At 52.8% G+C, this 22,171-nt stretch overlaps 1 protein-coding gene across 3 annotated transcripts in view, besides 2 other annotated features; it reads right to left on the bottom strand.

Annotated features, from left to right (window-relative positions):
* The window catches only part of HHIPL1 (HHIP like 1), a 76,032-nt gene that overhangs the window by 46,685 nt on the left and 7,176 nt on the right, over nucleotides 1-22,171 (bottom strand). For 2 of the 3 annotated variants that reach the window (XM_011537236.3, NM_001329411.2), the window contains exon 2: nucleotides 8,778-9,123. In XM_011537236.3, coding sequence (XP_011535538.1) covers nucleotides 8,778-8,837 — 60 coding nt within the window. In that variant the 5' untranslated portion in view covers nucleotides 8,838-9,123. The remainder of the gene's footprint in view (nucleotides 1-8,777; nucleotides 9,124-22,171) is intronic. The other variant, XM_006720277.4, reaches the window with a different exon arrangement.
* Nucleotides 4,939-4,988: an enhancer, noted in NCBI's record as "active region_9005". NCBI's record gives its function as "activates an Ori minimal core promoter by ATAC-STARR-seq in GM12878 lymphoblastoid cells {active_cell/tissue: GM12878}" and the evidence as "EXISTENCE:reporter gene assay evidence [ECO:0000049][PMID:35858748]".
* Nucleotides 9,154-9,856: an enhancer, noted in NCBI's record as "H3K4me1 hESC enhancer chr14:100090366-100091068 (GRCh37/hg19 assembly coordinates)". NCBI's record gives its function as "activates a minimal SCP1, AML or CMV promoter by ChIP-STARR-seq in naive H9 embryonic stem cells {active_cell/tissue: H9 hESC(naive)}" and the evidence as "EXISTENCE:reporter gene assay evidence [ECO:0000049][PMID:30033119]".

The raw sequence follows: 22,171 nt of genomic DNA, 5'->3' as shown, positions 1-22,171 counted from the left end.
GAGGGCAATGCCAACTGAAAGCTATCAGAATGCCTGTTTTAAACCCCAAATTCCAGGCGACAATCCTAGCACCTGGACATCAGAGCTGGAAAACAGGCTGCCATGTTACAGATGGGGAAGGCGGAGGCTGCCTGCTCTCCTGCTCCAGCCCCAGCAAGGACAGTGGCCCCTGTAAGGGAGGGCGGGGTCCTGAGTCCCTCCTCCTGATAGCCCCAGATTTAGTAAGCGGGATAGTTAAACCCAATTTCGAACATTTCCCAGTCTCATCTAAGCCTGTGGCTCCCCTGCCCAGGACCCCTCCGCAGTGCAAATCCAATTGTGATTTGCACCCTCATCCCAGCTTCACGGCCCCTAGCTGGGCCCAGACCTGGCTCATCCCTCCCAACTCTGCAGGTCTCAAGCCACAGGGGCCCACACTCCATGGGCTGTGACATGGCTCTGGGGTCCCCAGGGAGGCATGTGTCACAAACAGCTCTGCTCAGTTCCTCTGTGGGGGTCTGCCAGGCATCACAGACTCTCTCCTGGGTGTCCCCACAGTGCCTGTCAACCTGGCTTCCCCGAGGCTGCAGCTGAAACCACAAGGCAGAAAGGCAAAGGTGTGCAGGGGTTGGCGCACCCTCCCCTGGGGGTGACCTTCTGGGCTGCAGGGTCTTGCAGGGGTTCCCTGGGGTGGCTCTGTCAGGATCCACCTTTCCCCCAGCCTAGCTTCAGCCATGTCTCAGTTGGGGCTGATTGAGGAGTAGTTTGAATGGCAGCTGCCTTCCCCAGTATGCTGGGCTTCTCGCCTTCCTGTGTGTCTCTCCTGTCCCTGGGAGGCGCCTCTGTCTCTCACATGAATCCACCCACCCAGCCCACCCACTCACCACTTGGCCAGACTCGCCCAGATGGGTCTGAGTCTCAGCTCCATGAGGCCTCAGATAGGACCCTCCCTCTATCCCCTCCTCACTCCCCCATCCATACATGCAAATAGTCTATCTCTCTGTTTCTCTCTCTCTCTCTCTCACACACACACCAATTTATCCATAATGTGGGTTTGAAATAGCCTGAGGCTGGCAAGAGAAGAAATCGCATGACTGACTTAGGCCTCCAAAGGACGTGATAGGCTGAGGTGATGGCCAGTGCACCACGATGCAGACACAAAGGGAGAGACTTCAGTCTTAACGCTTGCCTGTACAGCACAGCGCAGGAGGCAGGTCTTGGAGCAACACCTGTGAGCAAGTCCGAGAAGAGTTGGGGGTGATGCAGTCACCCAAACGCCACTGTGGTCCTGGCTGCATTAATAGAGATCTAACACTCAGAAAAAGGGAAGTGATAGCCTGCTCAGAGCTTGGCTACTCAGAACCACTTGGTGATAAGGTCAAATGGGAGCCTATTTAGAGGTAGGAGGAGATGTGGGATGGGATGGGATGAGGACTGGATGTTCTCAGCGGAGAGGAGGAAGCAGCCCTGCCCTGTGAAGCCCAGAGAATGGAACTGGGGCCCACAGAAACAGGGTTTCAGTTCAGTCTAATGAACAGGGATTGGGTTTCCCCCAGAGGGAGTGAGCTCCCTGTCCTCAGAGGTAAGTCAGTAGAGGCTGCAAAGATACCTCTGAGAGTGCAGGTAAGAAGATTCCTGCTAGGGCCTGGATAATGTTTAAGATCTACCCCAATGCAAGAGTTCGGGATTCTCAAACACACAGGCACCTGCACCTGTGTGCAAAGCTACTCCTGTTCTTTCTGCCTGCCTCTACCTGGGGTCAGCAGTTGCAGACGGATGACAGAGACTCTAGTGCAAGACCTAAAACATAGGTCAGGCTGTGCCTGGTAGATGGGCCAGATGCTAGTGGTGTTGCTGGTCTCACCCCCACTGGCCCTGCCCCATGTCCACTCCCAGCCTCGCTCCCAGGCTCTGTCCCAGGCCCCCATCCCAAGGGAATCCTCCTGGGCTGGCCTTCTGCTTAGAGCCCCACCCCTCATCCCAGGATGTCTGGGGCATGGGCTTAGAGCCAAAGGAGGGGCTCCAGGGCACTTTGGCCAGTAGGACAGTCAAGGCCCACGGCAGGAGCGATCTCTCTGGACCATAGGGAAGGCAGAGTTGAGGGCGGGATAGGGCAGAGTTGAAGGCTGGGCATGGTGGCGCACACATGTAATCCCAGCTACTCAGGAGGCTGAGGCAGGAGAATTGCTTGAACCAGGAAGCAAAGGTTGCAGTGACCAGAGATTGCACCACTGCACTCTAGCCTAGGTGATAGAGCGAGACTCCATCTCAAGAGCCAGAAGTCACAGAGGGTCCCTATAAATTCTGAGCAGAAAGGACCCTCAGATCATGCCTAGTCCAACCCCACGTGTGTGTACCCAGTGTCCACACAAGGAAATGAGGCCCAGAAAGCAAAAGTGACTCCCATGTCTGAGTGGTGTTGGGGCCAGGACTGTAGGGGATCAGTTACGGGCTGAACTGTGTCTCCCCCAAGTTCATATGTGGAAGCCCTAACTCCAGTACCCCAGAAGGTGACCGTATTTGAAAATGGAACCAGGCCGGGCGCGGTGGCTCACGCCTGTAATCCCAGCACTTTGGGAGGCTGAGGTGGGCAGATTACCTGAGGTCAGGAGTTCAAGACCAGCCTGGCAAAAATACAAAACTTAGCCGGGTATGGTGGCACATGCCTGTAATCCAGCTACTCTGGGGGCTGAGGTAGGAGAATTCCTTGAATCCAGGAGGCAGAGGTTGACTGCACTCCAGCCTGGGTGACACAGCAAGACTCTGTCAAAAAAAAAAAGAAAGAAAGAAAGAGAGAGAAAGAAAGAAAGAAAGAAAGAAAGAAAGAAAGAAAGAAAGAAAGAAAGAAAGAAAGAAAATGGAGCCACTGCAGATGGAATTAGTGAAGCTGAGGTCATTAGAGTGCATCCTTATCCAGTAGGATTTGGGGTCTTATCAGAAGGGGACATTTGGACAGAGGACATGCGTGCAGGGAGAAGGCCACATGCAGGGGAAAGCGGAGATCCAGTGATGCTTCCACAAGCCCAGGAACACCAGGATTGCCAGCAGCCCCCATAGGCCAGGAGAGAGACAGGGGACAGAATATCGACTTTGTAGCCTCAGAAGGAAGGCTGCTGCAGACACCTCGATCTCGGACTTCCAACCTCCAGAATGGCAAGGGAATCAAAGTCTGCAGGCGTAGCAGCCCTAGCAAACTAACAGAGTCTGTGTGACCGGGAGGCCGCATGTCCTGTTCCTGAGACCCACATGCTATGTGCTGGCAGCGGCCTTCGGCGGTGGACCCTTCCCCTCCGTCACCTCTTGGGCTCCCTCCACACCCCACAATGCCTATCACCATCGTCCCACTTGCTCCTCCTAGCCGCTTCCTGGGTGAGTACTGTTATTAACCCCCATCTTATAGATGAGAAAACTGAGGCTCAGGGATGCTGAGCTGGAATCTAGGCTGGCTGAGGCCCAGTCAGATGCAGCCAATGAGAGCACCCAGTGTAAGGGTGTGAGTACCACACCTTGGAGGCCAAGGCCTTTCTGTAAAGGCTGACAGAGGAGGCGGAGTCAGATGATGAAACGCGATGGAATGACAGGGACTGCAGATGGACCAGGGGCTTCCTCTCCCTTGTTATTAACCACCGCCTGCCCGGTGTGCGATGGGGCAGGTCCTGCATTGGCTGCAGCTTCTACCAAATGGCCTCAGTGCCCTGCCCAATGCTGAGATCCCAGAAATTGGATTCTGAGCTCCTCCGGGGCTGAATCCATAGCCACTGACTGGCACACAGTGGAGGCTCAGCCAATACTAGCTTTCCTACAGACTCCCACATGGTTATCTGAGGAAGTGGGTAGAAACCAGGGCAATGCATCTCCACTCATAGAGAGAGAGTTTTTCTACACTGGGAATTGGCCACTTAAGGGATGAGCACCCCATCACTGGAGGCAGGCAAGTAAATAGTTGTCAAGCGGCCTCCTGTCAGTTCTGCTGTAACTGAAGGGAAAATGAGAACACTTTCAGGCTGCTTTCTGTCCCTGAGCCTATGAGTCTATGACTTCTTAAATCTTTAGTGTATTTTTAAGTATAGACAATACTTCTATATAGTTCAAAAATCAGAAAGGGCTGGGCGCGGTGGCTTACGCCTGTAATCCCAGCACTTCGGGAGGCTGAGGCGGGCAGATCACCTGAGGTCAAGAGTTCGAGACCAGCCTGGCCAACATGGTGAAACCTTGTCTGTACTAAAATACAAAAAAAAAAATTAGCCGGGCGTGGTGGCACGCACCTGTAATCCCAGCTACTTGGGAGGCTGAGGCAGGAGAATCACTTGAACCCAGGAGGTGGAGGTTGCAGTGAGCCAAGATTGTGCCACTGCACTCCAGCCTGGGCGACAGAGACTCCATTAAAAAAAAAAATCAGGAAGTCTAAAACGAAATTCAGTGAACACGGGTCCCTCCTACCCTGTGCCTACGCCCCTGCCCCCGCCTCCCAGGTAGCCTTCCAGAAAACCCTGCGTGATGCCAGTCTCTTATGTAATCTTCCAGAGAGAGCCCATGCCTGTGCCAGCAGACTCAGTCTTTATTTTTAAGATAAATACATATTCATGTTTTTTTTATGTATGTTCTGCCTCTTGTTTATTTCACTGATTTTCAGCGGCATAGTCCAGCCTGTGGCTGTCCAGCAGCCTGATGATATGAAACAGTCCCCTGGAGGTGTGCACAGGTATAAGGTGGGGAAAGGCCCACCTCACAGGGCTGCCAGGAGATGGTGTTTCCCTGGCCTGGCACCCAGCGCAGTGCCTGGCACGTGATCTGGGTCCCCAAGAAAGGTCCTACATCCGCGGGTGTCTGGGAAGGACATGCTGGGCCCAGGTGGCTGCAGCAACTCCTCGGGCCGCTAGGGGGCCCCTTGGTGCCGCCGGTCTTGCTGGTGGCCACAGCACAGCGCCGCGGTGACCAGGACATCAGGGGAGGCTCCTCGGAGGCAGGGAGGCACCTAGGCTTGGACTTGGCATCTCGAATTTCCAGAAGCACTACCTCGTCTTCCATCCTCCTGCCACCCTTCACAGTGGGCAGAGCAGGTATGGCTAGCTCTATGAAGCCACAGGGAAACTGAGGCCCGAGAGGGGAAGAGAGCTGAGGCCACACAGGAAGCTAGAAGGGACCCACTGGACTGTGCAACCTCCAGCATTCAGGAGGGGAGGGGTCCAGGGGTTTGGGAACAAGAAGCTGGGGTCACCTGTGACCCCCACTTACCTCCCCAGAAAAGGAAAGAAAATACATGCTTACCAAACTTTGTTGGTGTTGTTTTCTTTTTTTTTCTTTTTTTCTTTTTTTTTTTTTTTGAGTTGGAGTTTCACTCTTGTTGCCCAGGCTCGGGTGCAATGACATGATCTCAACTCACTGCAACCTCTGCCTCTTGGGTTCAAGTGATGCTCCTGCCTCAGCCTCCCAAGTAGCTGGGATTACAGATGCCCGCCACCAGGCCTGGCTAATTTTTTGTATTTTTAGTAGAGACGGGGTTTCATCCTGTTGGCCAGGCTGGTCTCGAACTCCTGACCTCAGGTGATTCACCCGTCTCGGCTTCACAAAGAGCTGGGATGACAGGCGTGAGCCACCGCCCCCGGCTGTTGGTGTTGTTTTCATTTAGAGAGGACAGAAAGGAAGAGACTGCCCCCACACAAAGCCACAGCACACCTGCCCCATCCAGTCCCATGGCCTCAGCATCTGGGCCCTTTGCCATGCTACCTGGGGACCTGGGCTCCTGCCTGCCTGGGGAGCACTCACTTTAGGACCTTGGCAGGTCTCACCTCTCTCTGGGCCTCGGTCCTCCCACCAGCACTGGTCGTCTAGCCCATCACAGCAGTCCCTCATGGCCTGCCCCCTCCAATCCATCCCCCTCTAGGACTGCCAAACTGATCATGCATCTTCCCTGCCTAACAGCCGCCCCTCCCACTGCCTAAAGAATCAGGTGCAGATTGTTGGCCATGCATTCCAGCCCTTCCTCCTCGGGGGCCTTTCCTGCCTTCTTCTCCTCCCAGCCCATCCTGACCTCACTGACTCTGCTCTGTCCACTTGTCATCTCCAAATGTTCCTTTCTCATCCTGCATTTGTGTGTCCTGCTGCCTCTGTCTGGGCTGCCTTGGACAGTCCCCCTTTTTGCCTGGTGACTTCCTTTCCAGCTCTTAAGGCCTGTTCCAGTGCTCCCCGCAACTCAGTGTGTTCTCCGGCCAAGCCCAGCTTACCTGGACTTCAGCAACACTTTCCTGCCTCTTGCAGTTGCCCCAGCTTCCTGGGCTGACCTTCCAGAGCACTTGTTACCCCATCCTCCACTGAAACAATGCCCAGACTTGTCTCTCCGGCCTGAATGAGTATCATGACCTCTCCTCATTCATCCCTGGCACCCTGGCACCTGGCACAGAATGTGGCACCACTAGGGGCTTAGGAGATGGGAACTGAATGAAGAAATGTAGACAAGGATGGATGGATAGATGGACAGATGGATGGGCAGGTAGATGGGCAGATGAATGGACAGATGGATGGATGGTTGGATGGACGGATGGATGGATGGATGGATGGATGGATGGATGGGCAGATGGATGGATAGATGGATGGGAAGATGGAAGAGTAGATGGATGAATAGATGAACAGATAGGTGGATAGATGAATGGGTAGGTAGGTGGGTGAGTGGATGGATGGATGGATGGATGGATGGATGGATGGATGGATGGGAAGATAGAAGAGTAGATGAATGGATACAGGGACAGATAGGTGGATGGATGGATGGGTAGGTGGGTGGATGGATGGATGGACGGATGGATAGCTGGATAGATGGATGGGTGAAAGGGGTGGTGTGGCATTATGAGTGAGAGCTCTGGCTCTGGGCTCTGACAGACTCAGGCTCAAGTGTCTTGGTGAGCACTAACTCCATGTCACACACAGTCCCTGGTGCTCCCCCTGTCCTGAGCCATTCAGTGACATATTACTCTCTCCCTCACTGCCCCAATATTCCCCAAGGGATAAGCCCTGCATCAGGCTCTGCAGGGTGGCTGGGATGCTTCGAGGGGGGAGGAACAGATTCGGGGAGCCAGGAGAGGGGAGCGCAGAGGAGCCTGCAGGCCCAGCTTTCAGAAGACCTGAGCTGGGCACTGCTAGACCCTGAGCCCTGTGTTGTGTCACCTAGGCATAGAGTATGCAGGGCACACATCAGGGAGAGAGGAATCCTGGCCATGCCCAGATCCCCAGGACCTAGAATACTGCCTCAGAGAGCAGAAAGAAATTACCCCAGCCCTTCTCAGGCCTGTGTCTACAGAGCCATCCCTTTCAGGCAAACTGCAGTCTGGGCACCCATCCTGTTGGGAGCTCACAGGGCCAGCTTGGGGCTGACAGAGGCACTGGACTCCCTGACCTCCAGGCTTTGGCGTTGACCTCCAAGCCCAGAGTGGAGGTAGCTGGATGGGCCGTGTCCTGCAGGCCAGGAATGGGTCCGGAGCAGTTTCCACATCTTTCCCACAGTCCGGGCTGGCAGGACAGAGCAGAACAAGATCCAGCTGGAATCCTGATGGGAGCAGGGAAGCTGGGAACATGTTTTGCAGGCTCCCTGCAGTCTCAGAGCCCCGAGGATCACACATGCATACACACACACACACACACACACACCCCGCTACACCCACACACACCTGTATCCCCATGGCCAGCAAGCATTCTGGTTTCACCAGCCCAGAGCAGATGCCTGCTGGGGTCACAGGAATGTCACAGCCACAGCAGCCACACGTTGACTACATCATGAGAGGCCACCCATTCTCATAGCGTCAAAGTCAGTCTACAGTCATCTCTCGGTGACTCCTCCAGCATCAGGCCGCCCGATCCTCTGGCTGCACCCACCTGACGGGGTAGCAATGCAGGCATTCATCTAGTGTGGATGTGGGCCAGACACAGGGCTAGCTCACTTCATCCTCACAACGACTTTGAATTTTGCACTGTTATGCAGATGGGGAAACAGAACAACTTGTGGGGAGTCTTGCCAAAGGTCACACGAGGAGTGGGCACAAGCACCAGGCTTTGGGCTCTGGCAGCCTAGGCCCAGGGTCCATGCAGGAGACTTTAACCAGCAAGAGCAGGAACCTTTGAAACTCAGGGTTCTTGGCTGGCATGGGGGGCTGTGTTTTATTAAAGCAGTGAGTGCCTCTGGTTGAATGTTTAATGTTCATATCAACGAATCTCCACTGTATCCATCACCAGAGCCCTCCAGGGCAGATGGGCATTGGAGAGGCTGCCCGCCACCCAGCATTGGATGGAGGGTGGGGGTGAGGCCCCAGGCTGCTGACCCAGGCTGCAGGATGGGCTCAGCCTCCCATCTCCAGCATTCTCCTAGTGCTGTTTGGGACAGGACCCTGCCTCATTGTGGGCACTAGCCAGCCTCCTGGCCCCAGTGACGCAGCAACCCAGACCTGCCTGCCTGGAGAACAGCCCTCCACAATAATAATAATTACGACAACTATTATTAGTATTCTATTGTGGTGACAATAATAACCAGTTTGGCATCGTGGTCAGGAGACCAGACTCTGTGCCAGGCAGACCTGATTGCACCTCCCAGCCACCCCTTGGCTGTGGGACCTTAGGCCAGTGCCTTGACCCCCCTACACCTTAGCTTCCTCCTCTGCAGATGGGAGGAGGTTGCTCAGGTGCATTGTTTCCTGCTTGCCTGGGGGCGGGGCTGCACAGGCAGAGTTCTGGCCAACCCGGCTTGGGATGGCGCCCAAGCCGAAGCCACAGGAAGGCAGGCCCCGCAGCACCGGGTGCTTTCAGAGCTGACCTACCTGGCCTCCCAAGGGAACCCATGATGAAAGGTTCCTGCGGCTGCACCCCTTGCCAGTCATCAGCCCACGCGCTGCTTCACCTCCTGTAATGACAGCGTTGGGCCAGTGGCTTACCCACCTCGCTCGGCAGGCACCGTGCAATTTTCATTAGGTCACATAGTCATTATTTCTCCAGATGACTCTCAGCCAGGGAGATGTGAATTTGATGGGCTGCCCACTTTACAGACGGGGCGACTGAGGCGTGCATCAGGCAAGGGCTTGCTTCCGGCCTTGGAGAGGGCAAAAGGTCAGCGGTTCAAGTAGGGATTCTGAATTTGGCCTCTGTATGGTTCCCTGAAGTAGGTTCCTGGGGAAAAGAGAGTAGAGAATCACAGTTGCTGGGAGTGGTGCGGGGAGGAGGCAGAAGGCGTTGGTGGCCTGCAGAGGCTGCCCGGCCCCAAGAACAAACTCACACTCACTGGCAGGCCAACTGCTTGGGCTGCTGCCTGCTCTGCCTCAGATCCTCAGATCCCAGGATGGAGATGTGGGGCACAGGGAGCTGGATCCCACTCCTGCTGCTGTCAAGGTCGGAGAAGAGGTGGGGTGTGCCTAGGTTGGGAGCTGGGGCTGTAAATGCCCGACCATATGGGAGTTGGTAAGAAGACAACACAGTCTTGCCCCTTCCTGAGCCCTGGCCCAGGTCCTGTGTCGTGGACTTCACAGCTCCTTCTGTCCCCACCATAACCCTGTGGGGTCAGTGCTGCTGCTGACCCATCCACAGATGAAGACACACCCGAGATGAGACTGCTCAGGCCACAGAGCTGATTGGCAGCAGGTCTGCTCCTGAACCCAGGCCCGAGTGCCCCCAAACTCTGCTTTATCTCATCCCATGCTCCAGGGAGCCACAGCCAGGGAAGAGGAGAAGTGGCTGAGTGCTGTGGCCGAAGCGAGGGTGGAGAGTCAGCTCTGGTTCCCATCCTGGTCTGCCAAGCTCTTGGCAAGCCTCGGGCCCTTCTGAGTTTCCATTCTCTCACCTGAAGGGATGAGTAGCTCCCCTGTCTGGCCTGGCTGCCTTGTGGGCTCAAAGGCAATGTGAGAGGTGCCCATTTCATGCTTGGCACATAGTAGGTACTCAAGTAAAGTAAGTTTCCATCTTCCTTTTCCTTCAATAACAAAGCAGAGTGTTCCCTCTCCTAGACAAAATATTTACGTTTTAATAGAGTCCCTTGTCTCTAGAAGGGGGATGAGTGATGATGGAATTCTCGGCAGCTTGTTGGGCCGGCACTGGCGGGGCTGCTAGGAAGAGCTCTCTGAGCTCCTCAAATCACAGGTACAGCAGGCTCGGGAGGGGAGTCTGGCACTGCCTGCTGCAGGCAGGAGCCTCTGCCTCTTCTTCCTTCAAGAGTGTCTATCAGGACCAGGTGTGGTGGTTCACACCTGTAATCCCAGCACTTTGGGAGGCCGAGGCTGGAGGGTTGCTTGAGACCAGGATTTAGAGACCAGCCTGGGCAACATAGCAAGATCCTGTCTCTTTAAGAAACAAAAAAATCAGCCAGGCGTGGTGGTGCACTCTTGCAGTCCCAACTACTTGGGAGGCTGAGGTGGGAGGACCACAGCCCAGGAAGTTGAGGCTACTACAGTGAGCTGTGATCATACCACTGCACTCCAGCCTGGGGGACAGAGCAAGACTCTGCCTTAAAAAAAAGAAAAAGTGTCTATTGTCATCTCAACTGCACCACTTCCCAAAACTCACCAGAATTCTCCTGGGCTGAGTTCATTTCATAATCTCATGCTAATGGAGAGTGATTTCCGTGGACTCATACCTTAAGGAATTGTGGTTTTCTCAGAGCCAGCCTTAAAGGGTAATAGGCATTCAAAACTGCTAAGGCAGCTCCCAGGCACCGTTACACCCCTATTAAATCACACACACCATTAAAAGGATAAAAGCCCGAGCTGGCAGGGCTGTGGGGAACTTAGCACGTGTGAGCATGGCTTTCCTCCTAGGGTGCTCTTCCCCAGCTCTGCTGCCTGCAGGAATGGGAGCCTCCTTTCAGGCTCAGCACACGCGTCTCTGCAGTGACACCTTCCCAGCTCCCCAGTCAGAATTGCTGCCCTTCCTGGCAGTTCCATAGCACATGGGTCTTGTTCATGGCACTTTGCACTGTCTCTGTCTTAACTCCCAGGTAGGCTCTGAAATTGATGACAGGGATGGAAGCTCATTCGTTCAGTCCACAGCATGCTGAGTGCTTTATGCTCTTGGCCTGTGATCCTCACTAGCACCCTTTAATGTGGTGACCATCCCATTTTACAGACGAGGAAAGTGAGGCTCAGAGAAGTTTAACCATTTGCCCAAGCCTGGCCAATCCCAGGCCTGGGCTCTTTCAACAGCACAGTGCTGCCTCTGCAGGGGCTCCACCCTGGGCTGGGTTTTTGGGAACTCAGGACCCCCCTGGTGGAAAGGTGGCCAAGCAGGTAGGCAGACACGGCCAGCACAGTATGTTGCTACCATAGCTGGGGACCCTGGGGTTTGGTGGGAGCCAGACAGGTTGGGGGGAGCATGGGAAAAAATTTCATAAAGCTATGTCCTGGCATAAGTCACTCAGGTGAGGAAGAAGGACAGGGCGTCGGTGCCAGAGAGAGCACCGTGTCACACAGCCATGTGACAGATGACAGTTGTCGGGGAGCAAGCTCTTCATGCTGTCATTTGGGCAGGATGGAAATTGTGGGCTGGAGAGCAGGGCAATGAGGGGAGGCCACGACTCTCTGGACAGAGCACCCCAGGGGTGACACTCTGTAAATCAGTGCAATCTAGAGTTAGAGGGTCTCTAAGGATGGGCCACAGATCTCTGCCTTCATCCCTACCTGTTTCAATCGAGTCTGGATGGAGCCATTAGAGCTTATCAGATGTGCCAAAGGCAATGTCCCATGAGAACATCACATTTCCAGAAACCTCAGAAGGTGGAACCAGAGACTGAAACCAACAGAAGGGAATTGAACAGGGAGAACAAGAATAGCCTGCTTTCAGGAGCAAAAGGTCAATTGCACAAACTGACAAGTTGATGGCAAGGTCCTTTTTCCCCCGCCTCCTGAATTGTGTTTAAAAAGTGAATCTTTGGCCAGGCGCGGTGGCTTATGCCTGTAATCCCAGCACTTTGGGAGGCCAAGGTGGGCGGATCACGAGGTCAGGAGATCGAGACTATCCTGGCCAACACGGTGAAACCCAGTCTCTGCTAAAAATACAAAAAATTAGCCGGGCATGGTGGCACGTACCTGTGGTCCCAGCTACTTGGGAGGCTGAGGCAGGAGAATCGCTTGAACCTGGGAGGTAGAGGTTGCAGTGAGCCAAGATCGCATCACTGCACTCCAGCCTGGGCAACAGAGCAAGACTGTGTCTCAAAAAAAAAAAAAAAAAAAAAAAAGAAAAGAAAAGAAAAAAAGGGAATCCTCTGAGGTTGAGATGGAGAGATCTGTTTGCTGGGCCTGCCCACAGGAAGTTCTCTAAAAACATCTGTGATCAGTGGGTCCTGGATGGGTGTCCTGACCTGGGAGAATCCTTGGGAGGAGTCAGCCAGTGCCCCTGCACCAGGATGGGGCTAACCCACCAGTGCCTGTGAGGCTCCTGTGCCCACTCACAATAGCTGGGGTTGGTGTAACCCACATAAAATCCCCCAGTCCCACCCAGGAACAGGCATCCCAGCTGCCTCAAGATCAGAGAGGGCCTTCGCCAGCTGAATAGCAGCGGTGGGGTGGTAAGGACAGAGGGCGGCCTTCTGTGCCTGCGATGAACTATCGCTTGAGCCCAGGAGTTTGAGACTAGCCTGGGCAACATGGTGAGACCCCATCTCTACAAAAAAATACAAAAATTAGCCAGGCATGGTGGTACCTGCCTGTAGCCCCAGCTACTTGAGAGGCTGAGGTGGGAGGTTGGTTTGAGCCAGGGAGGTTGAGATTACAGTGAGCTGAGATTGCACCACTGCACTCCAGTCTGGGTGACAGAAAAAGACCCTGTTTCAAAAAAAAAGTGGGCATAACATAAAGAGCAGGGCAAGTCGTGGTCAGGTGGTGACCTAGGGTGGGTGCTCACAGCAAGCACTTCCTCTATACCTCTGTGAGATGGCCATGCTCTCTTAGCTTGTTCACCTCTAGGGACAGGGAACTCACTACCTTGAGCCTGGGACAGGGCAGACCCGAGTGTTGCCTTCAGAGAATCCGCACTCTCATGGGGAAGTGAGCTGGTGGCAGTGGCGGGGCCGGCCTCCAGGTCTGACTCCTGCTGCTCCTTCAGAGGGTGTCCCCAGAGGGAAATGGGCTAGAGTGCTCCAGAGATGGGCCCTGCCCAGAGGCCTGGCCCCCCTACGTTCTGCAGGCAGAGGGAGAGTGGCCCTTAGGCTCAGGCAGCCAGCCAGAGCCCTGGGAAGCCAAGACCCCTCCTTCCTGTGGAAAGCTGGTAGGCCACTGCCCACAAGTGACTTTCCCACAGTGGCCCCTGTCCCCCTTTCCCTCACTGCTCCTGACCCGCCCCCCACCTGAGTGGTGACAGCTGGGAGGGGCTGATGTCTGCCCTTAGCCCCCCTGCGGGGAGGAAGGGGCTTCCTTAAGGAGGAGCCTGGACACCCCTCTTCTCGTGCCCCTCAGAGGCTGGATCCAGCCAGGGACCCTGACCTGGATGTAGGGATGCTGGGATGGGGAGCGAGAAAAAGGGGGAGGGCACTCCCTGCAAGAAGCCCAGGTCAGGGCAGGGGCTCCTGGACCCTCAGCCAGCCATTCCTGTCCAGCAGGTTGGAGAGGCCAGGGGCCAGAAGCCCTTCGTTGTCTGGAAGGGCAGAGGGATTATCTGCCCAGTGGATTTCAAGGCCTCCTTTCTGCCCTCTCCCAAAGCTGCTGACAGACCTGACTCCCTGGGGAGCTGAGGGACTCTTTTCTTGTTTCCTGTGACCTCCACAGAGAAAAATCCATCACCGGCTGGCTGAGCAATCCAGGAGGGTCCAAGAAAGATGGCATTGAGTCACCTGGGCCCTCATTGCCCTGACAGCCGTGAACGCATCATCCAGCTGGTAATTAGCTCTTACAGGAAAGGAAAAGGTCTGTCATTTTCCTCCGGAAGTGCCAGGCGGGGATTGCTGGCTGCCCCTCCTTGAAGCCGGAGAAAGGCCGGATCCTCATCCTGGGGCCAGCCTCTGCTAAGGATGTGGATTGGGGGTGGGAAAATATCCCTCCTTCCACTCAGGAATCCCACTTCTGGGAACTTACCCCAAGGAAACAATCCAACAGGAAAGCAAAGCTGTGCACAAACACGTCCCCATAGGAGTTCTGTATAACAGAACTGGCGCTCAGCAGCGGGAACAGCCACGCACCACGGCTGGGCTAAATATCACCTGGCTGTGACATAGGGCAAATGGGGAGGATGGGGGGCGGGGGGGCTTGGAGGTCCTGGCTTAGCACTCTAGGCTTCCTGAACTTTGACATCCCAGCCTGATCCCTACTCTGACACTGGCAAACAGACATGTTCCAGAACTCAGAGGTGGTGACTTCCATCTCTAGGTAGGGGACCCTGGGCAAGCAAGTATCCCACTGAGTCTTATCATCACGCAGGTGTGAGAACCCCTGCTTACATTGCAGCTTCAAGGATGCATTTATTGAAACTCTAAGTCTTTTTTTTTTTTTTTTGAGATGGAGTCTTGCACTGTCACCCCGGCTAGAGTGCAACAGTGCGATCTCGGCCCACTGCAACCTCTGCCTCCCGGGTTCAAGCAATTCTCCTGCCTCAGCCTCCCAAGTAGCTGGGATTACAGGTGCCCGCCACCACACCTGGCTAATTTTTTGTATTTTTAGTAGAGACGAGGTTTCACTATGTTGGCCAGGCTGGTTTCGAACTCCTGACCTCGTGATCTGCCTGCCTCAGCCTCCCAAGCTGAGGATCCCAAGCTGGGATTACAGGTGTGAGCCACCGTGCCCGGCCAACTCTAAGTCTTAGTTGCGGCATCTGTAAAATGGACCCAGCACCAGGGCCAGTACACGGGGTGTCGGGAGGGATAGTGAGATCATGGTGAGGCTCGGTGAGGCACTGCCACCAATTACAAATTACACAGCTCCTGTCTCCCTCTCACCCTCCCCAGTCCCCAGGCTACACAGGCTGCTTTGAGTACATCCCAGTGCCCAGAGCTGTGCCCAGGCCTGGCACGATGTTTCTGCAGGGCTTCTCCATGCTCCTCCTGCCCGGCCAGGCCCTGCTCTGGGCTCTGTAGAGAGGAGTTAGCTCCAAGGTGCACATGGCCAACCCCATACACCAGATGTGCACCCCTCGCATTCCTTTCCTACCTGGGTCCCTGAAAGCCAGCAGTGTTCCTGGGGTGTCTGAGCCCCTGCTCTGTGCCCACACCGGCCTAGGCATTGGGAGGGGCCCCATGGAGAGGAGGCACCTGAAGGAAGCAGCTGAGCTGAGTTCCAGAGAATCTTTGAGAGAGAAGGAAAAGCCAGGCAGAGGCCCTGCCAATGCCGCTAGGTTTTCAGCTGGGTGGGTGAGCCCAGAGCGGACCTCAGGCAGTGGCTGTACGCACAGTTCAGGGCTGGAGAGGTAGACTTTAGGGACATCAGGCTACAAGCGGGACTTGGAAGCTGAAGCTCATGTCCCTGCCAGGCCTGGCAACCATGAGGCGAAGAGAAGCCCTCAGTGTGGAGCCCAGTGGGGAGCTGGACATTTCACTCCTTGGGCGAGTCCCTCCTAATGGGGCTCAGTATCTCCAAGTGTTCTCTAGGATCGGACCAGTCCAGTGTTCCTCAGGCCTGGGTGGACCTTCCATGGGTCCGCCAGGCAGCCTGGCCACTTCCCAGACCAGCTCTCCCATAGGCTTCCAGGACAAAGCTCTGGGATTCCCAGGATGCCAAGTCTTGTGCAGCCCCAGTTGGTGCCAGCCCTTCCTCTTTGGTAGCTAGCGGTGTCCCCTCTCTAGGGCAACCCCCACCTGCTTGGTGAAGGACTCCCTCTGACAGACACTGAGGGCAAGATGTGTGACTAAGAACAGATGGTACAGTCAAGGGAAGGGTTTGTAGCCACCCTGCTGGGAGCCCCTGGACCAGGCAAGGTGCCTCCCTGCTCTGAAATTCCAGCTGGGACTGCCTGTCCCTTGCTCTTGGTCACGTCCTCTGCCTGCCTTCACTGGCACATCTGCCATGGGAGAAATCTGCTACAGACCCCCAAACATATACCCGAGCCCCAGCTTCTGCAAGTAAAATGGGCACAGTCATCCCTGCCCACCTTGCAGGCTTGTTGGGAGGATGGGAGGAGGAAACAGCCCAGAGAGTGCTTTGCAAACTGGAAATGAATGGGGAAACTGAGGGCCTGACCAGGCTTCCTTCTCCAGCAGGCAGGCCCGGGCTTGGCGTGTTGCTGGTGATGGTCTGGTCTGGGGGCTTCCATCAGGGAATATTTCTCGCCCTCCTTACTTGTTTCATGCACCACAGCCCAGAGCTAGGTTTTATCACTATTTAAATAAATTATGTTGATATTTAAATAAAACAATGCATGCTCTTAGGGTAAAAGCAATCATGTAACACTAAAATGCTTGCAAGGAAATGAGATGGTTCCCCGATTCCCCTCCCTTTCCCCACTCCCCAGAGCAACCAGTTTCCACATTTAGTTGTTCTTTCTGGCTTTGCAGTCTCCACATTTCTCATAAGATGTTTACGTTGCTATTTCTTGATTTTTCAATTCTAGACATTTCTGTTGCTTTCTCATGGTGACAGATGAGGCTTCAGCTCTCTGAAACCCTCCCACTCCCGCCTCCCCTCCCTCAGCCTCTTTAGAGGGATTTATGCGTTTCTTAGTTAACAGCTGGTCAAGGGTTTTATGACGATGATCGCGTAAATGTTATTCCGTGAAAGTCAGGAAATGGTCAATGACGGTTTCTTGTACAGTTTTGTTTGTGTGTGCCATGGAGTGAATGCATTTATTTGTAACTTGCAAGGTATTATGTGTCTCTTCTTAATTTTTCATCTGATCTACTCTAAACCTAGTGCTAGTGTTGTCAAATGCTCTGACAGTCTGTAATCTACTCCGTTGTGCCCTAAGCTCCCCAGCTTCTGCTCTGGGGCCACTTCTCGGCCCCCCAGGAAGGATCCTCCTTCCTGGGTGATCGCACACTCCCTGGTTGTTCTCAGCTCCTATGAGAGCATGTGCAACCAAAGCTTCCTAGAAGGTGCACAGTCGTTATATTCTATTTAAACTTAAATTTTATTTTGAGGCCTTGCATTTTTGCAAGGTTTACAAGGCTGATCCTTCCTGTGGGCATAAAATCCAGGCAGGAAATCCTTTTCCCCCAGATTTTAAAGGCAATTGATCATTCTGTGGTCCTCTAGCTTCCATTGTCGCAAGGAGAGGTCCAATAATAGGCTTATTTTATTATTTTAATTTAAAAACACATGCACAGAGTTTCAAACATAAAACTATAAGGCTTATTTTTTAAAAAAACCAAAAAAGTCCCTGCCTTATCTCTCTCCACCCAATTCCTACTTCCCAGAGGCAACTTTTCTCTATATTTGATTCTGCAACTTTTCTCTATATTTGGAAACAACACACTTGTACTGTTCTTTATTGACTCTCCAGCTTGAGACACTCTCGCTTGCCTTTCTCTTACGGATGAGGAGGCTTCGGGCCACTTACGTCCCTACCCTTCCCCACACAGGCCAATCCCCTCCCCTATCCTCCCAATAATGCTACACCATAATTTTTGATTAAATTAGTATTGTTTACATATTATGCTACAGTCACGTGTCACTTAATGACGAGGATATGATCTGGGAAATGTGTCATTAGTTGCTGTCATCATTGTCATGGAGCATACAATGCTAGATGGGATAGCCCACTGCACACCCAGGCCAGATGGTCTAGCCTATTGCTGCTAGGCTCACAAATCTGTACAGCATGTACCTGTACTGAATATCGTAGGAACTGTAACACAATGGCAAGAATTTGTGTGTCTAAACATAGAAAAGGTACAGTAAGAACACAATATTATCTGACAGGCCCACCGTGGTGTATGTGACCCCGACTAAAATGTGATGGAGCAGCACGTGACTCTATATAAACATTATGGCCAGCTGAGCCATGGTATGGCCTGATTGGATTTCCTTCCTTGTACAACTTCTGGGTTTCCCTGGGGATTAATAATTGCCTCCTTGTTTTGACTTGCTTGGTTTTTTCTGGGCTTTTCACCAAACTCCGACAGAGCTCTAATATTCCTCTCCAAACAGCCAAGCACTCCTACCAAGGGAATCCGTGAGCTTGGGCAGTTCCTCCGGGAGCCTCCTTTTCAAATCTGCGCTGATTGCTTCTGTCTGCAAAGCCCTCACCCTGGACCTTCCTTTCTCTGTTGTCTGAATCTCATGTCTTTTTTTCTTTCTTTCTTTCTCTTTCTTTCCTTCTTTCTTTCTTTCTCTTTCTTTCTTTCCTTCCTTCTTTCTTTTTCTTTCTTTCTCTCTCTCTCTTCCTTTCTTTCTCTTTCTTCCTTTCTTTCTTCCTTCCTTTCCTCTCTCTCTCTTTCTTTCTTCTTTTCTTTTAACTGCCTTCCTTTCTTTTCTTTTCTTTCTGACACAGAGTCTCACTCTGCCACCCAAGCTGGAGTGCAGTGGCACAATCACAGCTCATTGCAGTTTCAACCTCCCGGGCTCTAGTAACCCTCTCACCTCAGCCTCCTGAGTAGCTGGGAGCACAGGCATGCACCACCAAGCCCATATTTTTGAATTTTTTGTAGAGATAGGGTTTCCTCATGTTGCCCAGGCTGGTCTTGAACTCCTGGGCTCAAGCAATCTGGGAGGCTGGGCTCCTAAAGTGCTGGGATTACAGGCGTGAGCCACTGTGCCTGGGCTTCATGTCTTATTTCTTGGTTTAATTCCTAATTTTAGAGAAAGGATGTCTGGGAAATAATTTTTCTATTTTTTTTTAATTGGAAAATGTCTCACTCTGCCCTCCCCCTGGACTGCATTGGTACTAAAATAGTTTTCCTTCAGGATGCTGAGACATCGCTTCATGACCTTCTAGTTTTTGGACTTGCTGTTGAGAATGTCAACATCATTCTGATTCCTTTTCTCCGCACTCTACGCACCATGGTTTGAGGATTTTCTCAACCCTGGTGTTGTGAAGTTTTACAATAATGTGCCCAGTATGGTCTATTTTCCACTTCTCTTCTGGCCCTTTTTATGGAGAGACTTGTGTCCATGAGTCCCAGATAATTTTTTGATTTTATATCTTTATTACTTTCTTTCCTTTCATTTTATCCCATTAGATACGGGACAAAAAAATCAGGGCATTAAGTGAACGCTATCCTGGCCTCCGGAAACCCTCGTCCCCTCCAGCGTCACTAGGTGTATGCATTCGAAGTAGCACATTTGAGGATTATTTGGGGAATCTGGATAACGTTAGAGAAAGATCTCTAAGGTCAGATGCTTGGGGAGGGGTGTACCCCACAGCAATGGGAGTGTCTCCTAGCTCAGCCTGATGCCAACAAACAAGTGCCTCATGTAGCTCAGAGCAGATCTGGCTGCTAAATCACTGTCTCCCAAGATTCTGATGGACTTGGTCTGGGGTGGGACCTGAGCATCTGCATTTCACATGCTTTCCGGTGATTCTAAGGGTGGCTGGGGCTGAGAGCCCAAGGGCTGACCTGCTGCCCTTGCTCCGAGAGCCTGACCAGCTAGCTGCCTCTTGGGCTCTGATTTGCTCACAGGGGCTCTGTGAGTTCAGGGTGCTGAGATGGAGCTTCCTCATTGCAGAGTTCTGTGGCCTGGTGTTGGGGCTGAGCTGGGCGAGCTACTCTTGAGAGAAGGCTTGGCTCTTCAGTTCAGTTTTCAGACGCTCAGGAAGACTCTGGGCTCCGGGGCACCCACAGGACTCAGCCCTTTCTCGAGGAGAGCATCCCCTCCCGCCTCACCGTGTGGCCTGGGGTTCACGCCTCCTTTTCTTGTCACTTGACTATCTCCTCATCCTACAAGGAGGATGAAATGGTCCTATTTTCCGGTCCTGATCCAGAGGCTCAGAGAGGGAGTGCAGCTTTGCCTAAGGCCACCTTGCTGGTAAGGGTCAGGCCAGAGACACAGATTTTACATCCAGGGTTTTTCAACTTAACTCAGCTTCCTTCTTTATCATTCATTCATTCAACAAACATTTACTGAGTTCCCAGGCTCTATGCTAGGAATTTTATTTTTATTTTATTTATTTATTTTTGAGATGGAATCTCACTCTGTCGCCCAGGCTGTAGTGCAACGGCATGATCTCGGCTCACTGCAACCTCCCACTCCTGGGTTCAAGTGATTCTCCTGCCTCAGCATCCTGAGTAGCTGGGATTACAGGTGTGCACCACTGCGCCCGGCTAATTTTTTTGTATTTTTAGTAGAGATGGGATTTTACCATGTTGGCCAGGCTGGTCTCGAACTCCTCACCTCAAGTGATCTGCCCACCTCGGCCTCCCAAAGTGCTGGGATTACAGGCATGAGCCACTGTGCCCGGCCTGGAACTTTAAATTTAAAAACACATTCAGGCCTGGCAACGTGGCTCACACCTATAATTCCAGCACTTGGGTAGGCTGAGGTGGCAGATCACTTGAGCCCAGGAGTTCCAGACCAGCCTCTACAAACAGTATAAAAACTAGCGGGATGTGGGTATGCACCTGTAGTCTCAGATATTCAGGAGGTCGAGGTGTGAGAATTGCTTGAGCCCAGGAGGTCGAGGCTGTGGTGAGCCGAGATGGCACCACTGCACTCCAGCCTGGGTGACAGAGTGAGACTCTGTCTAAAAAAAAATTAATTAAAAAAAACCACATGTATGGAGTTTCAAAAATAAAATTATAAGGCTTATTAAAAAAAAAAACTAAAAAACAAAAAGAAGTTTGTCACTGGGGAACAGTGGGCCTCCTGGTCTCGTTGTTATAGTTACTTGAGTCACCACTTCTCTCTGGCCAGCTGGGGCTCCTCAGACAACTTCATTTCAGGCCAGCCTCGCCCAGGGCAGGTCACGACAAGGCCTGGGGTGCAGGAGGAATTACTGTTACTGCTGTTGTTGTATCAAACAGGAGGGGGCTGGGAGGGCTGGGCCTGCAGCCAGCAGAAGCCACATTAACAATTAAGGTCTTTGCGACTTTCATTCCACCCTCACTGCATGAAATATTCAGGCACTGGAGGAGATTGGTCTCAGATCTCTGCAGTGGTCAGGGCAGGGTAGGGCCAGGTGGGGCGGCTTTGTGAGGTTGTAGACCTCAGGCCTAGGGCAGCACCCAAGGCCTGGGACGTGAGCCGTCCAGAGGCTGTGGGGGCTGGAGGTACCTGACCCAGAGGGTGCAGCTGCAGACTCCCCCAGGGCAACCCGGGGGCCAGGCACTGAGAGTCCCAGAGAAAAATGAAGCTTAATCCTCCAGGAGGGCACCACTGGGGAGGAGACAGAAACACCCCCATATCACGGGTGGGCCTGGGCCTCACCACTCCCAGCACAGTGGTGCAACAGTTACAGAAGTGCACAGCTGGGCTCAAAGAAAGACCATGTGTCTGGGGCCTGGAATCTGTCACTTGATGTAAACCCCGTAATTATAAGTAGCATAAATCATGTTACATTGTATTTGTGTACCTGTGAAAGCATCAATTTGATTAATACAAACACTTCAATTAAATCCCAAGTGAGTAAACCTGCTCTGCTGTTTCCTCTTCTTCTTCTGGGTTTTATTCCCAATACATGGGGCACCTCCAGTATGAAATTTGGCCTGGGCTTCTCTTGTGCTCTGAGAGCCCGATAAGCCTTGGCTCTGTGTCCCCACCCACATCTCACCTTGAATTGTAATAATCCCCACGTGTCAAGGGCGGGACCAGGTGGAGATAGTTGAATCATAAGGGCAGTTTCTCTCATCGTCAGTGAGTTCTCACAAGACCTGATGGTTTTCTAAGGGGCTCTCCCCATCGCTCGGCTCTCATTCTCTCTCCTGCCACCGTGATTGGTAAGTTTCCTGAGGCTTCCCTGGCCACGCGGAACTGTGAGTCAATCAAGCCTCTTTCCTTTGTAAATTACCCAGTGTTGGGTATTTCTTCATAGCAGGTGAGAATAAATTAATACAGAGCCTCAAGAAAGACAAAGCAGGTTAAAGAAAGTACAAGCATCTTTGCCCACCAGAGTGACAACCCTAGACATCACCGAGGATGGGCAAGGCACATCCCATATCCTTCTGGCAGGAGTAAGAATTAGCCCCAGCTCTTTGGAAAGCACTTTGGCACTGTCTAGCCAACCTGTGTGTACTGTGTGACCCTGACATTCTCTGTCTTGGTATAGATGTGAGCAAAGTTCATACTCATGTGCGTTGGGACACGCGTATAAGAAGGTCCACAGGGCATTGCTTATAGGAAAAAAAAAAAACAACCCAAAAACTAGGCTGGGCATGGTG

The sequence above is a fragment of the Homo sapiens genome, chromosome 14 (assembly GCF_000001405.40).
Source record: "Homo sapiens chromosome 14, GRCh38.p14 Primary Assembly".
Taxonomy (NCBI): Eukaryota; Metazoa; Chordata; class Mammalia; order Primates; family Hominidae; genus Homo; species Homo sapiens.
This window is presented reverse-complemented; position numbering and strand designations above follow the sequence as displayed.